The sequence below is a fragment of the Homo sapiens genome, chromosome 12 (genome assembly GCF_000001405.40).
Source record: "Homo sapiens chromosome 12, GRCh38.p14 Primary Assembly".
In the NCBI taxonomy this organism is placed as follows: Eukaryota; Metazoa; Chordata; class Mammalia; order Primates; family Hominidae; genus Homo; species Homo sapiens.
In genome coordinates this window covers 122891246-122916730 of record NC_000012.12, presented here as the reverse complement: position 1 = coordinate 122916730, position 25485 = coordinate 122891246, and the positions used below count along the sequence as shown (strand labels likewise).

The following is a 25485-nucleotide window of genomic DNA, read 5'->3' as shown; positions in this document are numbered from 1 at the left end:
GCCCGGCTCTCCTTATTCATTCTGCACACGGCAGCCTTCTTTTTTTTTTTTTTTTTTTTAACATCGACTTTATTCGACTTTATTTTTTAGAACAGTTTCACAGAAAAATTGTGAAAATAGTACAGAGAATTCTCATATACCCCTCAGCCATTTTCCCTTGCTATTAGCATCTGATGTTAGTGTGCTGCATTTGTCACAATTAATGAACCAATATTAATGCATTGTTATTCACAGAAGTCTATACTTTATTCAATTTTCTTAGTTTTTCCCCAACGCCCTTTTCTGTTCCAGGATCCTGAAACTGCCTTTACCAAATTATGACAGTTAAAAAAAAAAAAAATCTGGCTGGGCGTGGTGACTCACGCCTGTAATCCCAGCACTTTGGGAGGCCGAGGCAGGCAGATCGCGAGGGCAGGAGATCAAGACCATCCTGGCTAACACGGTGAAATCCCGTCTCTACTAAAAAAACAAAAAATTTGCTGGGCATGGTGGTGGGCGCCTGTAGTCCATGCTACTCGGGAGGCTGAGGAAGGAGAATGGCGTGAACCCGGGAGGTGGAGCTTGCAGTGAGCCGAGATCACGCCACTGCACTCCAGCCTGGGCGACAGAGCAAGACTCCGTCTCAAAAAAAAAAAAAAAATCTGACATAGCTGACTCCACCTTGCCTCTAACCTCCAAGCTGTCCTTGTTCATTCCTGAGCATAGGCCAAGCTAACTTTGGGAGGAATTTAGTTTATAGTTTAATCTTAAGGATGAAAATAGCCCTTCCCAAAACAATCCTTTCCTTGCTCGGAGATCAAAACTGCCCTTGTAAAACTAACAAATTAGCCACAAGGGTAGAAATCATGACTCAGAGCCAGGCACCGTGGCTCATGCCTGTAATCCCAGCACTTTGGGAGGCTGAGGCAGGTGGATCACTTGAGGTTGGGAGTTTGAGACCAACCTGGCCAATATGGTGAAACCACGTCTCTACTAAAAATACAAAAATTAGCCAGGTGTGGCGGTGTGCACCTGTAATCCCAGTTACTCGGGAGGCTGAGACACAAGAATCACTTGAACCCAGGAGGTGGAGGTTGCAGTGAGGGGAGATCGTGTCAGTGCACTCCAGCCTGGGCGACAGAGCGAGACCCTGTATATATAAAAAAAAAGAAATTAGGGTTCAGGAATTGTGTAGCCAGAAGTCACAAGATTCATAACCTCCCCAATTGCTCCTAGAGATAACATCACTATCATCAAGCCTAAGATTGGTGTTCGAGATGTTTCTTTTTAATCAGTGTTGACCAGGTTGGTCTCGAACGTGTAGCCTCGCCTCCCCAAGTGCCAGGGCAACCGGCCTGAGCCACGACAGCTCCCTCGAGGTGTTTCTTAGACCCTACATTCTGATGGACCAATTGGCGCCACCCAGACTGGTAAACTGGCTCAACTGGTCTTGTGATCCCACCCAGGAGCTGAGGATGACAAGAAGACAGCTTCAACCTCCTGTGATTTCATTCCTGACCCAACCAATCAGCATTCCCGGTTCCTTAGTCCTCTACCCACTATATTATACTTAAAAAAACCCTGGTCTCCAAATTTTTGGGGAGACTGATTTGAATAGTAAACTCCCATCTTCTGCTTGATTGGTAGTGTGTTTACTAAACATTTTCTCTATGGCAATACCACTGTCTTGGTAAATCAGCTCTGTCTGAGCAAGGGGCAAGAAAACTCCGTCGCGTAATTACAATCCCACATTACATTACATTACATTACATTACATTACATTTATTTATTTATTTTTGAGACATGGTCTCATTCTGTCACCCAGGCTAAAGTGCAGTGGCACCATCTCAGCTCACTGCAACCTCCACCTCTCAGGTTCAAGCGATTCTCCTGCCTCAGCCTCCCAAGTAGCCAGGATTACAGGTGCACGCCACCACGCCCGGCTAACTTTTGTATTTTTGGTAGAGACGGGGTTTCACTGTGTTGGCCAGGCTGGTCTTGAACTCCTGGCCTCAGGTGATCCACCCGCCTCGGCCTCCCAGAGTGCTGGGCTGACAGGCGTGAGCCCCCGCGCCCGGCCCCACATTATATTTAGTAGTCATGTCTCCTTAGTTTCCTCCTGGCTGTGACAGTTTCTCTGACACTTTTTGTTTTGATGACTTTGACTGTTTTGAGCAGCACTGGTCAGGGATTTCGTAGGTTGTCCCCTGCTAGGATTTGTTTGATATTTTTCTCATGATTAGACATGGCGATGGGTTTTAGGGAGGATGCCATTTTCATCAAATCCTATCAAACGCACACACAATCATTATGACCTGTCACTGTTGATGTTGACCTTGATCACCGCTGAGGTCATTCATGTTGATCAGGTTTCTCTACTGTGAAGTCACTCTTCCCACTTTCCAGACTGTGTCCCTTGCTTTTTTTTTTTTTTTAGGCAGAGTCTCATTCTATTGCCAAGGCTGAAGTGCAATGGCTGATGCTGGCTCACTGCAACCTCTGCCTCCTGGGTTCAAGTGATTCTCCTGCCTCAGCCTCCCGAGTAGCTGGGACTACAGGCATGCACCACTAGACCTAGCTATTTATGTATTTTTAGTAGAGACAGGGTTTCACCATGTTGGCCAGGCTGGTCTCAAACTCCTGACCTCAGGTGATCTGCCCGCCTCGGCCTCCCAAAGCTGGGATTACAGGCATTAGCCACTGCGTCTGGCCACACTGACCTTCTTTCTTTACGTCAAACATGCCAACCTTGTCCCCACCTCTGGGCCTGTGCATAACTCTTCCCTCTGCCTGGAACCCCCTTCCCTAATATTCTCATGGCCAGCTCCCTGTCATCATCCAGGTCTCTCTCTACCCAAATATGTCTCCGCTCCTGGGAAATCCTGGGAAATCCTGAACCCCTTAGGAGTGTTCACCATATTGGTTTTTTTTGAGACAGAGCCTTGCTCTGTCCCCTAGGCTGGACTGCAGTGGTCCATCTCGGCTCACTGCAACTTCTGCCTCCCGGGTTCAAGGGATTCTCCTGCCTCAGCCTCTGGAGTGTCTGGGACTACAGACACCCACCACTATGTCTGGATAATTTTTGTATTTTCAGTAGAGATGGGGTTTTACCATGTTCGCCAGACTGATCTCAAACTCCTGGGCTCACATGATCCTCCTGCCTCGGCCTCCCAAAGTGCTGTGATTACAGGTGTAAGCCACCATGCCCAGTCCACTCGTGTCTTCTAAACTCCACCTTTGTGACTGCTCCTTGGTAATTTGGCATCAACCATGGCAGGAGTTTTTACACTACAGGAAGTGGTAAGTACTACAAATTAATACTCTTTCCCAGGTACTCTTTTGTACTTTTTTATTTATTTTAATTTTTTAAATCTTATAATAGAGACAGGTCTTGCTATGTTGGGCAGGCTGGTCTCAAACTTCTGACTTCAAGTGATCCACCCGCCTCACCCTCCCAAAGTGCTGGGATTACAGGCATGAGCCACCACACCCAGCCCAGATTCTTTTTCTTCCCCCAGGAAAAAAAAAAAAGCCTTCTTCGGCCAGGCGCGGTGGCTCATGCCTGTTATCCCAGCACTTTGGGAGGCTGAGGCGGGCGGATTACCTGAGGTCAGGAGTTCGAGACCAGCCTGGCCAACATGGTGAAACCCCGTCTCTACTAAAAATACAAAAACTAGCCATGGGTGGTGGCACACACCTGTAATCCCAGCTACTCGGGAGGCTGAGGCAGGAGAATTGCTTGAACCTGGGAGGCGGAGATTGCAGAGAGCCGAGATCATGCCACTGCACTCCAGCCTGGCCGACAGAGCAAGACTCTGTCTCAAAAAAAAAAAAAAAAAAAAAAAGGCCTTCTGATTACTTCATTTTCTGAATCCCCCTGGAATAAGCCATTCTCATTCACGGTGTTGGTGAACTTCCTATGACCCCTCTCAAGTTGGTTGCTGGACTAGGTGCTTTTTGAGCCTTGGTTCTGCCTCTGTTTTACATAGAACATGCGCAAGTCACTTAACCTTGTTATGTACAAAATATCTATATCATGAATATACTGAGAGAAATAAAGGTGAAAGCATTCATGAAAATAAATACCTGGAAAGTACCTTTTCCCAAGTATTTCCAGGTAGCTGATTGCTAAACATTTATTTGGATAACCATTGAGGGATATCGCTGACCCCAAACTCAGGGGACAGTAAAGAAGTTTTCCTTGAGGCCGGGCGTGGTGGCTCATGCCTGTAATCCCAGCACTTTGGGAGGCCGAGGTGGGTGGATCACCTGAGGTTGGGAGTTTGAGAACAGCCTGACCAACATGGGAGAAACCCCATCTCTACTAAAAATACAAAATTAGCTGGATGTGGTGCCGCATGCCTGTAATCCCAGCTATTCGGGAGGCTGAGGCAGGAGAATCGCTTGAACCCAGGAGCTGGAGGTTGCGGTGAGCCAAGATCACGCCATTGCACTCCAGCCTGGGCAACAAGAGCGAAACTCTGTTTCAAAAAAAAAAAGAAGAAGAAGAAGAAGTTTTCCTTGACGCCGCACAAACCAGAAAAAGGAAAAGCAAGAGGGAGAATAAATAATTCCTGAAAGATTGTTGCCACCGGCCTGCCTGCCCGTGGATACAAATCAGCTGGAGGCACAGGGAACTGAAGCTGGGAACTCGATCTGAGGTCACCCTGATTGGCGGTGCCCAAGAGTGCGGCAGAAGCAGGTGCACATCTTCTCCAGAGGAGAGCTCCTTCCTTCTAGGCCTCAGAGAATTCCCCACAAATAACTTTTCCAGGGCAATAACCAACACACATGGTCCATAGGGAAACAAGACCATGTGAACAGGAACCAGAAGAAACAGGCAGCAGAAGCAGACTCACACAGACCTCAGACGCTGAAATTATCCAACACAGATTCTAAAACAGTTATGCTCAACGGTTTAAAAAAGTAATCATCGGGGCTGGTGCAGAGGTTCATGCCTGTAATCCCAGTGCTTTAGGAGGCCGAGGCAGAAGGACTGCTTGAGGCCAGGAGTTCAAGAACAGCCGGGGCAACATGGCAAGACCCTCATACTACAAAAGATTTTTTTAAAAAATTAACTGGAGGAGAATGGCGTGAACCCGGGAGGCGGAGCTTGCAGTGAGCCGAGATCGCGCCACTGCACTCCAGCCTGGGCGACAGAGCAAGACTCCGTCTCAAAAAAAAAAAAAAAAAATTAACTGGGCATGGTGGCATGTACCTGCAGTCCCAGTTACTCAGGAGGCTGTGGCAGGAGGATCCATTGAGCCCAAGATTTCCAGGGTACAGTGGCTATATGATTGTACCACTGCACTCCAGCCTGGTGACAGAGAGGCCCTGTCTCTAGAAAACAACAGCAACAAAATCATCAAGCTTGAAAACATTTACAAGGAATATAAGGCTATAAAAAATAACAGATTTCTTTTTTTTTTTTTTTGAGAGAAAGTCTAGTTCTGTTCCCCAGGCTGGAGTGCAGTGGCTCGATCTCAGCTCACTGCAACCTCCGCCTCCTGGGTTCAAGTGATTCTCCTGCCTCAGCCTCCCGAGTAGCTGGGATTACAGGCACGCACCACCATGCCTGGTTAATTTTTTTTGTATTTTAGTAGAGACAGGGTTTCACCATGTTGGCCAGGCTTGTCTCGAACTCCTGGGCTCAAGCGATCAGCCCTCCTCGGCCTCCCAAAGTGCTGGGATTACAGGTGTGAGTCACTGTGCCTCGCCATAACATATTCCAAAAAGAACAAAATAGAACTTTTAGAAACTTAAAAAATAAATAAGGAATAATCTCAATTATTGTATGTGACAGAAGATTGTTCATGGTGGAAGAATTAGTGAGATAACAGAAGTTATGGCTGGGCAGTGGCTCACGCCTGTAATCCCACCACTTTGGGAGGCCAAGGAGGGCCGATCACTTGAGCCCAGGAGTTCGAGACAAGCCTGGCCAACACGGTGAAACCCCATCTCTACTAAAATATAACAACAACAACAACAACAAAATTAGCCAGGCGTGGTGGTGTATGCCTGTGGTCCCAGCTACTCGGAGGCTGAGGCAGGAGAATCGCTTGAACCTGGGAGGTAAAGGTTGCAGTGAGCCGAGATGGCACCACTGCACTCCAGCCTGGGTGACAGAACGAGACCCTGTCTCAAAAAAAAAAAAAAACAAAAGTTATCCAGAATGTAACACAGAGAGACAAAAAGAAAATACCAAAGGGAGAAGAAGAGAGTTGGAAGGTTCTTTGAGAAATGTTGTCATACATTTGTTTGGAGTTGCAGACAGAGAGGCAAGAGAGAATGGCATGAGAACTCTCTGAATCGCTAATGGCTGAGAATGGTCCAGAACCGACGAAAAACAACCTGCAGGTTTGAGGAGGCCAATATTTGCTGAATGAATGAATGAATAAGTGGGGGGAGATGCCTTGATCAACGTGCCTGCCACCTCCCTTCCCCTCACATGGGGGCTGCCATGGTCCGAGAGCCCGTTCCTCGCCCTCCCAGGCTCTACACAGTGGGAGCCCATCCATGCCATTGAAAACCCATCTGCCTGCTGCCAGCCCTTCCTGCCAGATGTCCTTCACCCACTGTTCAGCCTTTGTTGTCTTGCCCCCGCCTCCCTAGTTATCTGCGTGGCTTAAAATAGACAGGCCAGGGGAGGAATGTTGCCCAGCTACTCAGTGGCAACAAGCCTGCGACCTCAGACAGTTTCCAAAATGTGCCCCTCAGGGAAGAGGAATATGTCAACCTGGTTAGCGGTCTTCTCTCCTGGAACAAAAGGAAACATTTCAAATTCAGAAAAACAATCCAAACACCCTTCCAACTGAGAGGGCAGGAGGGAAGAGGGTTAGAAAGGGCGCCTGGTGTTTTCGTTTCATCTGTTGAGCCCCAACCAGGCTTCAGGGCAACCACACACCACTAACTGGCTGCCAAGGCCTGGCTTACCAAGGCGGCATGATCTTCCATATGCATGTTTTTCTGTCAATATAAAGCCTTGTTTTTGTAGTGGAGTGGAGATAGGAATTAGTCCCATTTTTCAGATGGGAAAGTTGAGGTCCCAGAAGCAAAGTACTGTCGTTTGCTCCTCCTCTTAATGACCACAACCCAAGTTATTTGGACTAGGTCGTTTTCTTCTTGTTTTTTGAGACAGGGTCTTGCTCTGTCATCCAGGCTGGAGTGCAGTTGTGCAATCTTGTCTCACTGCAAACTCCACTTCCCAGGCTCAAGTGATCCTCCCATCTCAGCCTCCTGAGTAGCTGGGATTACAGGCACAAGCCACCATGCCTGGCTAAATTTTTTTGTATTTGTAGTAGAGATGGAGTCTCATCACATTACCCAGGCTGAAACAATTGGATTTTATTCTCGTAATAAAATCCAATTGTGGCACTATAAGGAAAACAGCTGTATATGATCTGGTTTTATTACCTGAAATTATCTTGGTTATATAACTTGTTTACTTGATTGGCATCTATTTGCTCTTTAGAGGAATATAAACTTCATGGGTGCAAAGGTGTTGCCTGTTTGGTTCACTGCTGTATTCTCAGCGTTTACAGCTCTAAGCGATCTGCCTACCTTGGCCTCCCAAAGTGCTGGGATTACAGTTGTGAGCCATCATGCCCAGCTCTAGGTAGTTTCTTCTCGTTAAAACTGCATATCAGGCCAGGCGCAGTGACTCACACCTGTAATCTCAGCACTTTGGGAGACCAAGGCGAGGCAGGAGGATTGCTTGAGTTTATAGTGAGCTATGACGGTGCCACTGCTCTCCAGCCTGGGCAACACAGCCAGACCCTGTCTCTAAAAAAAGAAAAAAAAACTGTACATCATCACCTACCACCATGAATCAAGTTCCTTTTGTAAGCCTGGGCAACATAACAAGACCCCATTTCTACAAAAAAATTTTAAATATTAGACAGGTGTGGTGGCACGTTCCTGGGGTTTCAGCTAATTGGGAGGCTGAGGTGGGAGAGTTGCTTCAGCCCAGGAAGATGAGGCTGCAGTGAGCTGTGATCTCACCACTGCACTCCAGCCTGGGCGACAGTGTGAGACCCTGTCTCAGAAAAAAAAAAAAGTTCCTATTTACACAAATTGTGCTCTCAAATTCTGTAGAGAAGACTGTCTGGTTTTCCTGACCCTCAAGTTTACAGTTAATTGGCAGAGACAGGTCAAATGCAGGTGGCAAAGGTTTCAGGCAGCTTATAAAAAAGAATACAAACAAGCAGATGTCGATAGATAGCACATGATGGTTCAATGGCGGGGGAGTGGCACCATTATCACAAGCAATGCTGGCCTTCCACGACCCCTTCCCCATGAACAGCCAGAGGGGCCTTTAAAAAAAATGGCTTTGGCCGGGCGCGGTGGCTCACGCCTGTAGTCCCAGCACTTTGGGAGGCCGAGGCGGGTGGATCATGAGGTCAGGAGATCGAGACCATCCTGGCTAACACGGTGAAACCCCGTCTCTACTAAAAATACAAAAAATTAGCCAGGCGCGGTGGCGGGCGCCTGTAGTCCCAGCTACTGGGGAGGCTGAGGCAGGAGAATGGCGTGAACCCGGGAAGCGGAGCTTGCAGTGAGCCGAGATTGCGCCACTGCAGTCCGCAGTCCGGCCTGGGCGACAGAGCGAGACTCCGTCTCAAAAAAAAAAAAAAAAAAAAAAATGGCTTTATTGAGATACAGAGGGACCTGAAATTGTGAATTGTCATTTCCCTGCTTAAAACTCTTCATTGGGCCGGGCGCAGTGGCTCACGCCTGTAATCCCAGCACTTTGGGAGGCTGAGGCGGGCGGATCATGAGGTCAAGAGATTGAAACCATCCTGGCCAAAATGGTGAAACCCTGTCTCTACTTAAAAAAAAAAAAAAAAAAAAAAATACAGGCCGGGCGCAGGGGCTCATGCCTATAATCCCAGCACTTTGGGAGGCCGAGGCAGGCAGATCATGAGGTCAGGAGTTCGAGACCAGCCTGGCCAATATGGTGAAACCTTGTCTCTACTAAAAATACAAAAAATTAGCCGGGCATGGTGGCTCATGCCTCTAATCCCAGCTACTCGGGAGGCTGAGGCAGGAGACTCAGTTGAACCCAGGAGGTGGAGGTTGCAGTGAGTGGAGATTGCGCCACTGCACTCCAGCCTGGGCGACAGTGTGAGGCTCCGTCTCAAAACAAACAAACACACAAACACAAAAATTAACTGGGCATGGTGGCACGTGCCTGTAGTCCCAGCTCCTCGGGAGGCTGGGGCAGGAGAATCACTTGAACCCAGGAGGCAGAGATTGTAGTGAGCCAAGATTGCGCCATTGTACTCCAGCCTGGGCACAGAGCCAGACTCCGTCTCAAAAACAAACAAACAAACAAAAAAAGACAAAAAAAAAAAAAACCTCTCCATTGGCTGGGTGCCGTGACTCACGCCTGTAATCCCAGCACTTGGGAGGCCGAAGCAGGAGGATCACCTGGCCAACATGGCGAAACCCCGTCTCTACTAAAAATACAAAAATTAGCCGGGCATGGTGGTGGGCACCTGTAATCCCAGCTACTCAAGAGACTGAGGCAGGAGAATCGCTTGAACCCAGGAGGCGGAGGTTGCAGTGACCTGAGGTTGTGCCATTGCACTCCAGCCTGGGCCACAGAGTGAGACTCCGTCCCAAAAAACAAAACAAACAAAACCCCAGAAAACCCCTCTCCATTGTTTCCTACTGTTCTCATAATAAAATCCACTTGTGTCACTATAATAAAAAAGGCTGTATATGATCTGGTTGTGTTATTACCTGAAATTATCCTAGTTACATAACTAGTTTATGTGATTGGCATCTGTTTTCTCCTTATTGGAATGTAAACTTCATGGGGGTGAAGGTGTTGCTTGTTTGGTTCACTGCTGTATTCTCAGTGTTTAGAACAGTGAGTAGGTTATAGTAGATGCTCAATAAATGTATGAAATGATGAATAAATGAAAGCATGCAGGTGAGATTTTTTGAAAGAGGGAGGCTTAAATGATGATATGGAGCTGACATAGTATTTCTCAGGGTATGTATTTTTTTTTTTTTTTTTAGGATGGAGTCTTGCTCTGTTGCCCAGGCTGGAGTGCAGTGGCATGATCTCGGCTCACTGCAAGCTCTGCCTCCTGGGTTCACACCATTCTCCTGCCTCAGCCTCCCGAGTAGCTGGGACTACAGGCACCCGCCACCACGCCCGGCTAATTTTTTGTATTTTTAGTAGAGACAGGGTTTCACCATGTTAGCCAGGATGGTCTCAATCTCCTGATCTCATGATCCACCCACCTAGGCCTCCCAAAGTGCTGGGATTACAGGCGTGAGCCACCACGGCTGGCTGAGTATGTATTCTTTTTTTTTTTTTTTTTTTTTTTTTTTTGAGATAGAGTCTCGCCGTGTCGCCCAGGCTGGAGTGCTATGGCTCAATCTCGGCTCCCTGCAAGCTCCGCCTCCCGGGTTCACGACATTCTCCTGCCTCAGCCTCCCGAGTAGCTGGGACTACAGGCACCCGCCACCACGCCCGGCTAATTTTTATATTTTTAGTAGAGACGGGGTTTCATCGTGCTAGCCAGGATGGTCTCGATCTCCTGACCTTGTGATCCGCCTGCCTCAGCCTCCCAAAGTGCTGGGATTACAGGCATGAGCCACCGCGCCCGGTCCCAAGTATGTATTCTTTAATGGTGAAAAATGCTGTATCACTTTATGTGATCCTTGAAACACTGTAGACATACATATTATTAATCCCCATTTTATAGATAAGGAAATTGAGGCAGGCATGTTAGAGGATTTGCACAAGTCCTTGTGGGCACTTTATTTTATTTATTTATTTATTTTTTGAGACAGAGTCTACCTTTGTCGCTCAGGCTGGAATGCAGTGGCATGAACTTGGCTCACTGCAACCTCTGCCTCCCCGGTTCAAGCGATTCTCCTGCCTCAGCCTCCCAAGTAACTGGGATTACAGGCATCTGCCACCATGCCTGGCTAATTTTTGTATATATATATTTTATATTATACTTTAAGTTCTGGGGTACATGTGCAGAACGTGCAGGTTTGTTACATAGGTATACACGTGTCATGGTGGTTTGCTGCACCCATCAACCCATCATCTACATTAGATATTTCTCCTAACGCTATCCCTCCCTTAGCCCCCAACCCCCTGACAGGCCCTGGTGTGTGATGTTCCCCTCTTGGTGTCCATGTGTTCTCATTGTTCAACTCCCATTTATGAGTGAGAACATGCGGTGTTTGGTTTTCTGTTCTTGTGTTAGTTTGCTGAGAATGATGGTTTCCAGCTTCATCCATGTCCCTGTAAAGGACATGAACTCATCCTTTTTTATGGCTGCATAGTATTCCATGGCATAATTTTTGTATTTTTAGTATAGACGAAGTTTCACTGTGTTGGCCAGGCTGGTCTTGAACTCCTGACCTTGTGATCTGCCCGCCTAGGCCTCCCAAACCTGAGCCACCATGCCCGGTCCCTCATGGGCACTTTAAAAATACAGCAGAGGCTGGGCATGGTTGCTCATGCCTGTGATCCCAGCACTTTGGGAGGCCAAGGTGGGTGGATCACCTGAGGTCAGGAGTTTGAGACAAGCCTGGCCAACATGGTGAAACCCTGTCTCTACTAAAAATACAAAATTAGGCCTGGTGCAGTGGCTCACACCTGTAATCCTAGCACTTTGGGAGGCTGAGGAGGGCAGACTGCTGGAGCTCAGGAGTTCAAGACCAGCCTGGGCAACACAGTGAAAACCCTGTCTCTACTAAAATACAAAAGAAATTAGCCGGGCATGGCAGAGTGTGCCTGTAGTCCTAGTTACTCGGGAGGATGAGGCAGGAGAATTGCTTAAACCCAGGAGGCGGAGGTTGCAGTAAGCCGAGATTGCGCCACTGCACTCCAGCCTGAGTGACAGAGCAAGACTCTGTCTCTAGTTAAAAAAAAAAAAAAAAAAATAGCTGGGTGTGGTGGCACATGCCTGTAATCCCAGCTACTTGGGAGGCAGAGGCAGGAGAATCGCTTGAACCTGGGAGGTGGAAGTTGCAGTGAGCCGAGATCGAGTCACACTACACTCTAGCCTGGGCAACGAGAGCGAAAACTCCATCTCAAAAAAACAAAAAAACAAAAACAAAACAAACACACACACACACACACACACACACACACACACACACACAGGAGCAGGGGCCAGGTGCGGTGGCTCACGCCTGTAATACCAGCACTTTGGGAGGCTGAGGAGGGCAGATCACTTGAGGTCAGGAGTTTGAGACCAGCCTGGCCAACATGGCGAAACCTGTCTCTACTAAAAATACAAAAATTAGCTGGGTATGGTGGTGCATACCTGTAATCCCAGCTACTCAGGAGGCTGAGGCAGGAGAATTGCTTGAACCCAAGAGGTGGAGGTTGCAGTGACCCAAGATCTGCCACTGCACTCCAGCCTGGGTGACAGACAAGACTCTGTCTCAAAAATAAATAAATAAATAATAACGGTTAGAATGATAAACTTTATGTATATTGTACCACAATAAGAAGTAATTTTTTAAAAGTGGTAGCTGAACTAGTTTTACGTGTATTAATAGAGATGGATTTCAAAACAGAGACAGAAGCATGTTGCAGAATAGGATGCCATATTTTTTAACAAAAATACTACCCAAAACAACACTAAATAAATCTGTTGTGCATTCATATGTATATATGTTAAAGAATAAAAATGGTCTGGAAAAATTCACACCAAGGAGTGTTAACAGTGGTCGCCCATGGGGAGAAAGGATGAACAGTTGGTGGCCAAGGAGAACTTAGTTTCTTTGTCCTAATTTATTTATTTGTAAAGGATGATGGCGTGGAAGACTAAATAATAATTCCCCAATTACACCCACATCCTCATGCCCTGCCAGCGTTGTTTTGTGTGGTACAAGGTCTTTGCAGGTCTGATTAAGCGAAGGGCCTTGCGGTGGGGAGTGGCGCCTGGGCTATCCAGGTGAGTCCAATGTCATCACAAAAGGCTTCCTAAGAGGGAGGCAGGAGCGTCAGGGTCAGAGGAGGCAATCTGAAAACAGGCAGAGATTGACCGAGGCCCCTAGAAGCTGGGAGAAAAGCAAGGGAGCTGATTCTCCCCTCTGAGTTTCCAGAAAGAACCAGGGCTGCCAACATCTTGACTTTAGGACTTCGTGATTTTGGACTTCTGACCTGCAGAACTGTAAGAGAAGAAATGAGTGTTGCTTAAGCCACTAAGTTAGTGGTTGTTTGTCACAGCATAGGAAATGAATACAGGATTCATAGCTTCCCTGTACAGTTAAACATTATGCAGTTATATAAATAGAAAGGCTTGGGAGGAGGGAGTAGATTTCGAGTGCATCAGATAAGGCACCCCCCTCTTGAAAGAAGAGCGTAAACTAGGTGGGTTTCTGTAGCACTGACGTTGAGGGCAACAGGTCCAGGAGGTGAAGAGGTGGGGGTGACTGAGGTGGGAGCTGACATAAGATCATTAGCATATGCAGAATCACCTCGAGAAGGACCGCAAGGTAAGAGCAGAATAAACTGGTATCTTCACACATTTTCTGCCTAAGACGAGACATGCAAAATTTCACAGTGATTAGAATGTTCCAGATTTAGTGCCTGGATTAACACCTTCTGCTGAGAAGAATCTTCACTTGAAAAAAAAAGAAGAAAACACCCTGCATGGAATTCAAAGGAAAAAAAAAAAAAAACACCAACGTTATTTTCAGCACTACTAGGGGAAAGGTAAATTCAGGCAACACCTGTTGAATAGGTTTCAAGAGTTTTTGGAACCAGCTATGGGTCAGCTAATGTCGCTAAGGAGTTATATTGATTTGTCCTTAGCTATATGATTGCAAAGTGACACGTTCCATATAAGTAGAGTGTGATCTCTCTTGCTTTAAAAAAAAAAAGTAAGTGGGTAGGAGGGTGGATATGAATATAGTTGCTTGAATAAGCACTGAAAAAACTTCTGGAAGGAAACACAAGTTGTTAATGGTTTTTGTTTGACCCCCTTATCTACTATTTGAATTTTATTTTATGCCATTTTATTATTATTTTTGAGACAGGGTCTCGCTCTGTCACCCAGGCTGGAGAGCAGTGGCACGATCATATCTCACTGCAGCCTCCAAATCCTGGGCTCAAGCAATCCTCCTGACTCAGCCTCCTAAGTAGCTGGGACTACAGGCATGTGCCACCATACCCAGGTAATTTTTTTTTTTTCGAGACAGGGTCTCCCTTTGTTGCCCAGGCTGGAGTACAGTGGCACGATCACTGCTCACTGCAGCCTCGACTTCCTGGGCTCAGGTGATCCTCCCATCTAGTCTCCCAAGTGCTGGAATTACAGGCATGCATCACCACGCCCGGCTAATTTTTGTATTTTTAGTAGAGACAGGATTTCACCATGTTAGCCAGGCTGTTCTCGATCTCCTGACCTCATGATCCACCCGCCTCGGCCTCCCAAAGTGCTGGGATTACAGGCGTGAGCCACCACGCCCAGCCCGTACATGTTTATCTTTTTAAAAATTCTAGAACCGAAACAAAACTGATCACTGTGGCTACCTCTGGGACATGGGTTCAATAGGGTTTGTTGTTAACTTTTCAGCTTACACACTTCTCACAGTTTAGACAGTTTTTACAGTAAACAAACGTTATTTTTAAGTATTTGGATGTTAATTTGTATATTTTATTATAAATAGTTCAAATTTATCAAAAGGAATAGATAATAATATAAGCCCATGACTCAGTTAAGAAATTCAAGGTGCAAATTACTTTTGTAACTAAAGAAGCAAGCAAACAAAAACCTATAAAGGTTTCCTAAAAAAAAACAAAACAAAACAAAACAAAAAACCACCTTGAGAGGGTTTCAGTTTCTAGTTTCTCTCTAGAGAATTTGCAAACCCAATGCCTGGAAATCCTGTCTTTGTACTTTTACCTATGTGTAAACCAACTCAAGTGTTATAACCACTTAGACGTAAGGTTTTTCAACATTGTCAGGGTTCGAGGTGAATGTTAGAGCTGAGTTAATTTCTTAGTGGATGAACCTAATCTTCTTGAAACTGTCAGGCTTATCGCAATGCATATAAGCAGAGAACAGGCTGTTGCCTCTGTGGTTTATCTGCGGTGTCAAGGCAAATCAGGCAAAAAATGCTGCAGGGCCACTTTCTGAAGGCTATTTTAATGAGGAAAGCAAGGTTCTGGGACTTGAAAACAGTTGGGGTCCTCTCTAGGGGTGACCAGAGAAATCATTCATAAGGGAAGCAAAAGCTAAGTGGTCTTGCCAGGCGCGGTGGCTCACGCCTGTAATCCCAGCACTTTGGGAGGCCGAGGCGGGCGGATCACGAGGTCAGGAGATCGAGACCATCCTGGCTAACACAGTGAAACCCCATCTCTACTTAAAATACAAAAAATTAGCCGAGCGAGGTGGCGGGCGCCTGTAGTCCCAGCTACTCGGGAGGCTGAGGCAGGAGAATGGTGTGAACCCCAGGGGGCGGAGCCTGCAGTGAGCCAAGATTGTGCCACTCACTCCAGCCTGGGCGACAGTGAGACTCCGTCTCAAAAAAAAAAAAAAAAGTTAAGTGGTCTTGCAGTTGTTCTCCCTGGCTGGGTTGATCAACACAAGAGGTAAAAATAGCTTTATCACCTCTTTTTAAATATGAAATAATGATGCAAAACAGAAGCATTTTTGTTGAGAGATAAAAAAAAAGAGCAAGATTAAGACCCCCATCTTCCTTTAAGTAAATAGTAAGAAAAGTGAATTTTCAGTAACACTCCAGCAGGGAGTTTAGTGAAAATCAGGCTGTGAAAATCTGCCCTGCTCTGTTTCATGGCATATCACCCAATACATTTTTATTTATTGTGGGTTGGTGCAGCACGTAAGTTTGGGTTTGCAGGATTTTATTATTTTTGTTGGTGACCATTTTGGTTTTGCCAGTGATATTTAATAAACTCTTTTTTGTTTTTCTTGAGGTTGTGAGCAGCTACATTTACATTAGTTATATTCGTTTTCTTCCTTTTAGTTAAAAAAAAAAATACAAAAATCCTTGGCCGGGTGTAGTGGCTCACTCCTGTAATCTCAGCACTTTGGGAGGCCAAGGTGGGTGGATCACCTGAGATCAGGAGTTCGAGACCAGCCTGGCCAACATGTTGAAACCCCGTCTCTACTAAAAATATAAAAACTAGCTGGGTGTGGTGGCATGTGCCTGTAATCCCAGCTACTCAGGAGGCTGAGGCATGAGAATCACTTGATCCTGGGAGGCGGAGGTTGCAGTGAGCTGAGATCATGCCACTGAACTCCAGCCTGGGCGGCAGAGCGAAACTCTGTCTCAAAAAAACAAAAACAAAACCAAAAAAAACTTCAATCCACAAGCATTGTTGTAACCTTAAAAAAAAAATCACTAACTTCTCCACTAACAACTTAAATACTTTGTTACCCTCGAGTCTTTGTCCTATAGAAATATAGCTTGTTCATTATAATCAGTCTGTATACACATTATACATGTGATATATATACACAGACACACACACATACAGAGAATGAGAGAGAGAGACAGAGAAAGAGACAGGGTCTTAATCTCTTGCCCAGGCTGGAGTGCAGTGGTGCGACCACAGCTCACTGCCGCCTCAACCTCCTGGGCCTCACCAATCCTCCCACCTCAGCCTCCCAAGTAGCTGGGACCACAGGCATGCGTCACCGTGCCGGGCTATTTTTTTTTAATTTTATATTTGTAGAGACAGAGTCTCCCTCTGATGCCCAGGATGGCCTTGAACTCCTGTACTCAAGGGATCCTCCCACCCCAGGCTTCCAAAGTGCTGGAATTACAGGTGTGAGCCACCATGCCCAGCCTACATTTATATTTTGCCTTTGTACCTTAACTCATGTTGCTTTTTCCACGTAGCTTCATAGTCTTTGCGTATCTTATTTTAATGGCTGAAAATATACCATTGATCAGATTTACTACAATTTACTTAACCATTCCCATAGTGTTGGACATTTAAGTTCTCATAATGTCATTTATTCACCCTCCCCTCCTATGACCATTCTATAGACCTCCGTCTTCCAGGCTGAAGTGACTCTCCTGCCTCAGCCTCCCAAGTAGCTGGGACTACAGGCATATGCCACCACACCTGGCTAATTCTTGTATTTTCGGTAGAGATGGGGTTTCATTACGTTGGCCAGGCTGGTCTCGAACTCCTGACCTCAAGCGATCCACCCGCCTTGGCCTACCAAAGTGCTGGGATTACAGGTGTGAGACACCAGGCCTGGCCCCCTACCTTTATAACACACCAAAATAACATCAACCCTAAATATAATTTTAAAAATACTATTCTATATTTGTATATCTTCTCTTGCTCTCCAAAGCAGAGACTGTATCTAAAACGATTTCTTTTTTCTGGATGACTAGTATGTAGGTCATTTTGGACATGTAGGTATTAGTACATGACAGTGACATGGTGGTGACATCAGGCTGTGAGTCCCCAGAGAAGCATGGCTGTTCCACCTGACACCTGGGGGAATAATTCCTCTAGTGCGCACACATAGTTTTGTAGCTATGTGTGCTATGCTATGGACACCTTCTTATTAATACATTTTTTCCCAGCGTCTCAAACTGGAAATTATTTCTGGATAAATCTACCAATGGGAGAGAAAGAATTCTAATCCCAAGGCTAGAAGATTTTTAGGTTCAACTATGCAAAGGTTGTGTGTGTGTGTGTGTGTGTGTGTGTGTGTGTGTGTGTGTGTGTTTTAAGTATGCTTGCCAAACAATTCCCAATATTGTGTAACAGGAGACTCATTGCTCAGACGGCAACAATGCTCCCATTGAGAGTGAAGCTCTGGCACATGCATACATTGCCCTTGATTCACCAGAGCAAACTCTTAGTTAACCCACAAGCATTACAAGCAGATGTAGGTGCATAAAGAAACCCAAATATCAGCCAACCGATAAAAGGAAAAAGACATGCAAATCCATCCATGCATTAAATTGACAGGTTTGACACTGATGCAAGGAAGCTTTGACATTTTCTTTTCTTCTCTCAATCCCCTTTAAGAATGACAAGAAGTTTTTAGAGCAGCAGAAAACAAGATGATTTTGTGGTTTGCTCTGTTTAACAAAGGAAGTGGTGTATGACTCCAATAGGTTGGTGGCAGATAGCAAGTATGAGAATAGTTATAAAAGGACTGGGCAAGGGTGGCAAGTGAGCCGTGTTTAAACTTAGTACGTTTAGAGGTCACTGTATATAGGTATGCCATTCTGAAGCCAGTTTTGTTCCTGGGGTATGTTCTTGGTTAAATCACATCATCCCTCTAGATTCTGGAGAGCTCTGACCCCTACCTTATTCTCACCTTCTGTGGGGACTATGAGAAATTCCTGGACATCTTAAGCCTCATAGAGAGGATTTCCTGGAAATAGAGCTACTATTCTCAATTTGACAGGTCTATTCTTCTCCTGGAGGGAGAAGGAAAAAAGAAACGCCAGCTTCCTACATCTCCTTCCCACTTGTGTCCTTTCCTCCTTAGAGCCATCTTTCTTCACCAAGTATAACAAGTTAGAAGGAAGAAAATTACCGAGTGTCCTTTTGAGCTCAATAAAACCTTTAGCTTGGCCGGGTACGGTGGCTCATGCCTGTAATCCCAGCACTTTGGGAGGCCAAGGTGGGCGGATCACGAGGTCAGAAGATCAAGACCATCCTGGCTAACACGGTGAAACCCCGTCACTACTAAAAATACAAAAAATTAGCTGGGTGGGGTGGCGAGTGCCTGTAGTCCCAGCTACTCGGGAGGCTGAGGCAGGAGAATAGCGTGAACCTGGGAGGCAGAGCTTGCAGTGAGCTGAGATTACACCACTGCACTCCAGCCTGGGCGACAGAGCAAGGTTCCGTCTCAAAAAAAAAAAAAAACAAAACAAAACAAACAAAAAAAAACCTTTAGCTTACGGATTATATGAAACATTTCTTTTGGCCGGGCGGGGTGGCTCAGGTCTGCAATCCCAGCACTTTGGGAGGCTGAGGTGGGCGGATCACTTGAGGTCAGGAGTTCGAGACCAACCTGGCCAACATGGTGAAACCCCATTTCGACTAAAAACACAAAAATTAGCTTGGCGTGATGGCGCATGCCTGTAGTCCCAGCTACTTGGAAGGCTGAGGCAGGAGAATCGCTTGAACCCAGGAGGCGGAGATTGAGGTGAGCTGAGATCGCACCACTGCACTCCAGCCTGGACGACAGAGCAAGACTCTGTCTCAAAAAATAAAAAAAGCAATAGTTCCTCTAACTTTCATCATTTTTCTGCAAACACGAGCCCTTAGTACAACGGGCTGGAAGGAGAGAAGAGGTTGGCAGAGCCCAGCCTAACGTATGGATGGAGAACACAGACCTTATGTTTTACCCATGGAGTTGCAGAAGAATCAGCTTTATACACAAAGCCCCTAAGTCTGCCGATAAGCATTTGCTGAATGCCTCGACTGTGTTCAGAGCTGAGTTATGAGACGAGGTCAGTGTGTTATGATGCCAGCGTGGTGGACGCCAGACTGGGAGCCAGGAGACCTGCCAATTACTTGATTTTCAGAAACAAAGCAAAAGCCCAAAAAATTTCCCCTTCTCAGGGCTTCAGTTCCCTTATGTGTAAAATTAGGGGGCTGTCATGGTTAACCTCAGCCTTAGGTTTCTTCTAACTAGAACTGTGACAGATTCCAAAGTAGGATAATGAGTTCCCAGGCTCCTGGATCTTAAGAGGCTTCCCGGTAGCTGAGAGACTGAGAGCGACTGCACCCTAAATCGTGTTGTTTCTGAAAGAGCACAGGTTGGCCCACCTGGATGTCTGGGCACCTTCCTCTGAGGTGATGCAAAGGGGCCACTCAATGGGTCCTTGCTCAAAATGCTCCAGCCTTACTGGCCTTCTTCCCATTCCTGAATGCACCAAGTTAGTCCTGTCCCAGGGCCTTTGCACGTGCTGGTTTTGCTGCCTTGAGCTTCCTACAGGAATGGTGGCTGGTTCCTCCCTTCTCATCCTTCACATTTCCTTAGACGCCACCTTCTCCGAAAGTGCCATCTCTTACTACCCTAAAGGTCTTTTTATTTTCTTATTTCAGTGTCCATTCCCTTATTTGTGATCGCCTAATTATTTTACTTATTTCTTGTTTTGTTTGCGTCCTCTTTCATTCTGTTAGCTCCATGTAAGCAGGGGTCCGTTTTGCTTTATTCAGAACTGTATACTCAATGCCCAGTACAGAGTAGGTCTCAAAACATATTTGTTAAATGAATGACGTGGCAGCTCCACAATTCCAAGTAACCAATGACACCTAAAGTTGTTTCCCCATGAAGTCTCTGTCTTTTGGGTTCCGTGCATCGGGCTGGGCTCACAGGCTGCGGGAACTTCCTTCCCACTGCCTGTTTTCCTTGGATCGCGGTATCTCTCTTCCTGGAGGAAAAAGGCTCTTATGACCTCATGGCGCGCTCTCCCGAGCCGCAGTGACGTCATTAATGCGCTCACGCGTCACAGCCCAATCATAGGGCCCTTCCCCTCCCTTTAGAAGTCCCGACTGTCCCTGACACATTCCACTCCAAGCGAGCCGCGACACTTACGTCACGTCCGCCCGCCCGCGCGGTGATGACGTCACGACCCAGGGCTGGCGTCACGTGTCCCCCCCGCGGGGGGCGGCCCTTGAGGGCGGCGCTTCCGGTCGGCGGAGCCTGGTGGCCGCAGCGGCGGTGGCGACGACGGCCGAGACGTGGGGATGGCGGGCGCCGGGAGCGAAGCCCGGTTCGCCGGGCTGTCGCTGGTGCAGCTCAACGAGCTGCTGGAGGACGAGGGCCAGCTGACGGAGATGGTGCAGAAGATGGAGGAGGTGAGCCGAGCTGGGCTTAAGGCGGCGGCTGTGAGGCCTCGAGCGGGGTTCGCTCCTCGAACGGTGGCCGGAGGCGGAGGCGACCGCGGCGCCTCCGGTCGTGTTGAGGGGACTGGGCTAGAAATGGGGGCGCTTGGGGCGGGGTGCGGGAGCCAGGGAACCGCGACTGGTGCTTAGGCAGGAATAGGGGGCCTGAGAGGGGGTTTGAGGCACTGAGGGGACCGAGACTAGGGCGGAGGCGGGAAAAAGGGTCCTGAGACGGGGCTTGGGGAGCCGATTGGGGGTCCTGAGACAAGGTTTTGTGGGGCTGAGGACTTAAGGCTGGGTCTGAAGACTTAAGGCTGGGTCTGAAGTGGAGATTAGGGAGCCTGGAATGGGAATTTGGGGATTAGAGTGCTATCGTTGGGTCTAGGCGGAAGAGGACGGAACTGGGGGGATCTGAGATTGGTTTGGTCGGAGGAGCGGGGAGAGTAATAAGGGCTGAGTCGGAGGCGAGGATTAGGGGTGACTGAGGGGGACCAAGAGCTAGATCTGGTAGAGGTTGGGGGGTTTCCTTTGAGAGGAAAGGTTGGGGACAACCAGGGGGACTGAGGCAGCTATAGGGGATCAGAGTAGGTTTTGGGGGACTGAGTGGACTATCCAAATAGGACTCTTAGGAGAGGATTGAGGGTTCCAAGATGGGTTCGGGAGGCTGAGGGTCTGTAGCTGAGTCTATGAGGTGGTTCTGAGGCTCTTTAAGGGTTGGGCGAGGGTCCCCAGCCCAGGGTTTGGAGGCAGGAGTCCATGGTCATACCATAGCCAGGGTAAGGTTTGAAGGTTCCATGTATCTAAGGGGTCCCAATAATGCCCCTGGAGTCTGACTTCTTTTGAAGTGGCCCCAGCAGAGTTACGGGAGTTCGTGGATGGGCCTAAGGGTGGCGACAGGATACGTTTTTCTGTAAGGGTTGCCCCCTCCACCGAGGAAGGGAAGGTGGGAAATTTAGTGTGGCTGGCTTTGTACCACTGCGTCCCACGTGTCTGGGACTAAGGAAGGTTCCTGGAGCAGTTTCAGGAAGAAGTTAAAATGGGGGTTTGGGGCTGGCTGCCAACCCTCACCTCTGAGAGTCAAGCCTTGCCCAGCCCCTGGAAGGCATGTGCCAGCTCCTGTTTCTGGTTATCTTCCTTCACACCTTGAGGTGTGGTTTGCTCTCGGGTAACTGACTTCATCCTTGCAGATTTGCAGTGTGTGCTCCCTTTCTCTCAACCCATTTGGACTCATTCTCGGAAAGTCTGATCTTTTGGGTCTGGTTCTCCTCCAGGCAGGTGGGCCCAGGCTAATCCCAGCTCTTCCTGGCCCACCTACCACTCCTTTATGTCTCTGAAGTCTGAGCCTTCCCACGCCTACAGTGCTGAGCCTCTCACCCAGGAGCCCGTGTGGGGGCTTTTGGCTTTCTTTCCGAAGAGGGATTGTTCAGCACCAAGCCAGCCCCCTTAAAAGAGAGCTTGTATGGAGGTTGCACATTCAAAATCCCTGGAAAACCCTCAACAGATCATTGTCCGGAGCTACAGAGAGGCCACTGTAGTAAGATGGTATCAGTCTTTCCATTAATACACCCCTTGTATTCATGGGCTTTGTAACTTGACACATAATAACGTTGCTCCAAGATGCAGTGTACCCCGTTTATGGTCTCCATGTGGCACCTTCCATTTTGGAGAATAATAAGTGATAAAATCCATCCTTCTTAGCTGAATGAGTTTCATGTCTCCAAAGAAAAAATCTTTGCTTAGTTTCTCTGCTTTTCAGTTGCTGGGAGACCTTTTGTTGATTGTCAGCAGGGTTTTTCTGGTTTAATAATAAAATGATAGGTATATTTTTCTAATGTGTAACACTGCCTACAAGTTATTTTGGTATATGTGACTATTCTGTTGCAGTAAGAACTGAGTACTGTAGCTTTGTTGGTGGAACATTAATAGAAATAAACTGCCTTTAGTGGAGGGAAGCTTGTGGAAAGAATCAAGTTCATTCTGTTCACTTGGAGGCTGTTAGGGACAACCTCACCTGTTTCCTCTACCTCAGAACCTGAAGATTATTTTTTAAAGAGAAAGGTAAATTCATCTGGCAGGATTTTTTTTTTTTTTTTTTTTTTTTGAGTAAAAGTGACCTTCATACCTGAATACCCAAGAGAAGTATTGAGGCCTGAGCGACTCCACTTGATAAGCCTGCATAGTTCACATTAAATTACTCAGCAGTAGTTTGCTTTTCTGGGTGTAGTGCTTTTAAAACAAGGAAACAACTTGAAAACCAAAATACCTTAGCTCACCTAGCGAGGATCACTGTCAATCCTGTCGTCCTGGTCATGTGTGGTGTGCCTTTCTCGGAATGGGTGTAATGTGAACCGAAATTTTTGGTCATGGTAGTTTCACTCATCTGGTAATGCTATGCATTGGCTTATGTTGGGGGTAATTGTGAGACACAATAGAAGAAAATATTTTATGAACTGTTGACCAAATGGAACATTTGTGATGGCGTGTTAAAGAACATTCTGGTTTTGGAATCACACACTCCAGACTGGACTTGGCCGCTTCCCAGCTGTGTGATTGCAGGCAAGTCACTTCACCTGCCTGAGTATCTGTTGGAAAAGGATAATATGACAGTAATACCTATTTCATAGAGTGAGGATCAGGTGAGATGATGCCTATTAGTACTTAACACAGCCCATCAGTAGGGCTCAATAAAAAGTAATTGCAATAATTAATCACTTATATTAATAGTTCTCTTTTTGAAAGATGACTGACAATCATTAATACCAGATCATCCTGAAAGTTACTAGGATCCCATTTCAAGAATGTTGAGTAAATTATGATTTGCAATTAGCCTAAAAAACATTTACCTTTTCCTTTTTTTTTTTTTTTGAGAAAGGATCTTGCTCTGTTGCCCAGCTGGAGTGCAGTAGTACAATCTCAGCGCACTGCAACCTCTGCCTCCTGGGTTCAAGTGATTCTCGTGCCTTAGCCTCCTGCGTAGCAGGGCTCACAGGTGTGCGCCATCACACCCAGCTAATTTTTGTATTTTTAGTAGAGACGGAGTTTCAGCATGTTGGCCAGGCTGGTTTTGAACTCCTAACCTCAGGTGATCTGCCTGCCTCAGCCTCCCATAGTGCTAGAATTAAAGGCGTGAGCCACCGCACCCCGCTGCCACCGGCTAATTTTTTATTTTTGTTTTTTTGTAGAGATGGGGTCTTGCTATGTTGCCTCTTGAATTCCTGGCCCTAAACCATCTTCCTGCCTTGATTTCCCAAAGTGCTGGGATTACAGGCATGGGCCACCACGCCCAGCCAAACATTGATCTTTCTGTGGTCAAAATGATTATGTATTTGAGTAGGTATAGGGTGAAATGGTAAATATAACAGGCCTTTCCCAGCATAGAATTTCTTAACCTGAACCAAAGGATTTCTTTTTTTTTTTTTTTAATTGGCAGAAGGAAGTGTTTTAAATTGTAGAGTAAGGCTTCTTTAAGCCTGAGGGGATATTTTGTGGAGGCTGGAAAATGTGGCTAGGTTTTGAAGGCATTCACTGTTAGGTTTAAGTGCAGCTGTTCATTATGCGTCACTTACATTGTTTTAATTGTGGCGTGTGAGTTTCAGTGCAGTTTAAGTAGTGAACATGATTTCGGAGCTACGGTCCTCATTTTCTGGGCCTGTGTGTCAGTTTCTCTCTTCCTGTTCCTCCTGTTCATTATGCAATTCCCTAAATGTAGTATATCCTTCATGATCTTATTCTCTTGTCTGTGCTGCAGGCTAATGTTTCATATGCATGTATTTTATTTTTATTTAAAGTTATTTTTACATGGCAGTGGAATGTGCCTTCATCTGTCAACATTAACCCCATTGGACTTGCAGGGCACTCCCTTAAAAGGAACTGTCGCTTAGGGGATTAGGCAACTAAACCGGACCTCTTGAATTACTTCACTGTGCTTTCTGAGGAAATGCTGATTGGTTACTGCTAAAGATTCCACTAACAATTCAAATTGGGGATCTTTGTTCCCATGGCATGAAAATGCCCATGCCCGCATGCAAAAATGCTGAGGGTCTGAAAGACAGGTTGTTTTGTGGAAAGTAAAGAGCTCTGGTCTGGAAGAAGCTGTTTCCCTAAGGCGTGTTCGGGTGTGATTTGTGTGGGGGGCTGAAAGCTACTGCATGAATCATAATGGCTCATTGAAATGTATTGACCTTGCTTTAAATCCAGGGACCGGCTCCCAAACACACTCTGAATGCTGGTGAGACTGTTTTAGAAGCTAAGATTTGCACTCTTGAGTATAATACTACTGGAGTTTGTTTTTATCCATGTTTTATAATCATTATGTACGTGTAAAGGCTTCAACTTTTACGTTTAAATCTTTTCCATGGACCTTTTACATGAGTAAAAAATTACTGTGCCTAGGAATATGTACTGAAATTCAGTTGTATGTCATTTTATCCTTAAGTGAGGCATCAAGATTTCATGGAAAGCACGGAGCTGAGTTGTGTGACTTTAAGTGACTTAAACCCTGTGCTTCAGTTTCCTCAACTGTTAAAGGAAGGATAATATGCCTATCTTTTAGAGTACTTGTAAGGCTAAATGTCACAACAGAAATGGTACAGAGGAAGCATTCAGTAGAGGCCAGCTCCCTTTTATTAAGATGCAATTTTCAGAATATGTAGACTGGCTTAGATGAAATTTGATCAATT

The 25485-nt window shown here is 46.5% G+C and overlaps 1 protein-coding gene across 3 annotated transcripts in view, besides 6 other annotated features; it reads left to right on the top strand.

The window, feature by feature from the left end:
* Positions 5995-6495: an enhancer, noted in NCBI's record as "OCT4-NANOG-H3K4me1 hESC enhancer chr12:123394783-123395283 (GRCh37/hg19 assembly coordinates)". NCBI's record gives its function as "activates a minimal SCP1, AML or CMV promoter by ChIP-STARR-seq in naive H9 embryonic stem cells {active_cell/tissue: H9 hESC(naive)}" and the evidence as "EXISTENCE:reporter gene assay evidence [ECO:0000049][PMID:30033119]".
* Positions 6496-6996: an enhancer, noted in NCBI's record as "OCT4-NANOG-H3K4me1 hESC enhancer chr12:123394282-123394782 (GRCh37/hg19 assembly coordinates)". NCBI's record gives its function as "activates a minimal SCP1, AML or CMV promoter by ChIP-STARR-seq in naive H9 embryonic stem cells {active_cell/tissue: H9 hESC(naive)}" and the evidence as "EXISTENCE:reporter gene assay evidence [ECO:0000049][PMID:30033119]".
* Positions 20464-20613: a silencer, noted in NCBI's record as "silent region_5024". NCBI's record gives its function as "represses an Ori minimal core promoter by ATAC-STARR-seq in GM12878 lymphoblastoid cells {active_cell/tissue: GM12878}" and the evidence as "EXISTENCE:reporter gene assay evidence [ECO:0000049][PMID:35858748]".
* The window catches only part of VPS37B (VPS37B subunit of ESCRT-I), a 30795-nt gene continuing 25916 nt past the window's right edge, over positions 20607-25485 (top strand). For all 3 annotated transcript variants that reach the window (NM_024667.3, XM_011538743.3, XM_017019971.2), the window contains exon 1: positions 20607-20779. In NM_024667.3, coding sequence (NP_078943.1) covers positions 20669-20779 — 111 coding nt within the window. In that variant the 5' untranslated portion in view covers positions 20607-20668. The remainder of the gene's footprint in view (positions 20780-25485) is intronic.
* Positions 20794-20943: an enhancer, noted in NCBI's record as "active region_7244". NCBI's record gives its function as "activates an Ori minimal core promoter by ATAC-STARR-seq in GM12878 lymphoblastoid cells {active_cell/tissue: GM12878}" and the evidence as "EXISTENCE:reporter gene assay evidence [ECO:0000049][PMID:35858748]".
* Positions 24356-24855: an enhancer, noted in NCBI's record as "OCT4-NANOG-H3K27ac hESC enhancer chr12:123376423-123376922 (GRCh37/hg19 assembly coordinates)". NCBI's record gives its function as "activates a minimal SCP1, AML or CMV promoter by ChIP-STARR-seq in naive H9 embryonic stem cells {active_cell/tissue: H9 hESC(naive)}" and the evidence as "EXISTENCE:reporter gene assay evidence [ECO:0000049][PMID:30033119]".
* Positions 24856-25357: an enhancer, noted in NCBI's record as "OCT4-NANOG-H3K27ac hESC enhancer chr12:123375921-123376422 (GRCh37/hg19 assembly coordinates)". NCBI's record gives its function as "activates a minimal SCP1, AML or CMV promoter by ChIP-STARR-seq in naive H9 embryonic stem cells {active_cell/tissue: H9 hESC(naive)}" and the evidence as "EXISTENCE:reporter gene assay evidence [ECO:0000049][PMID:30033119]".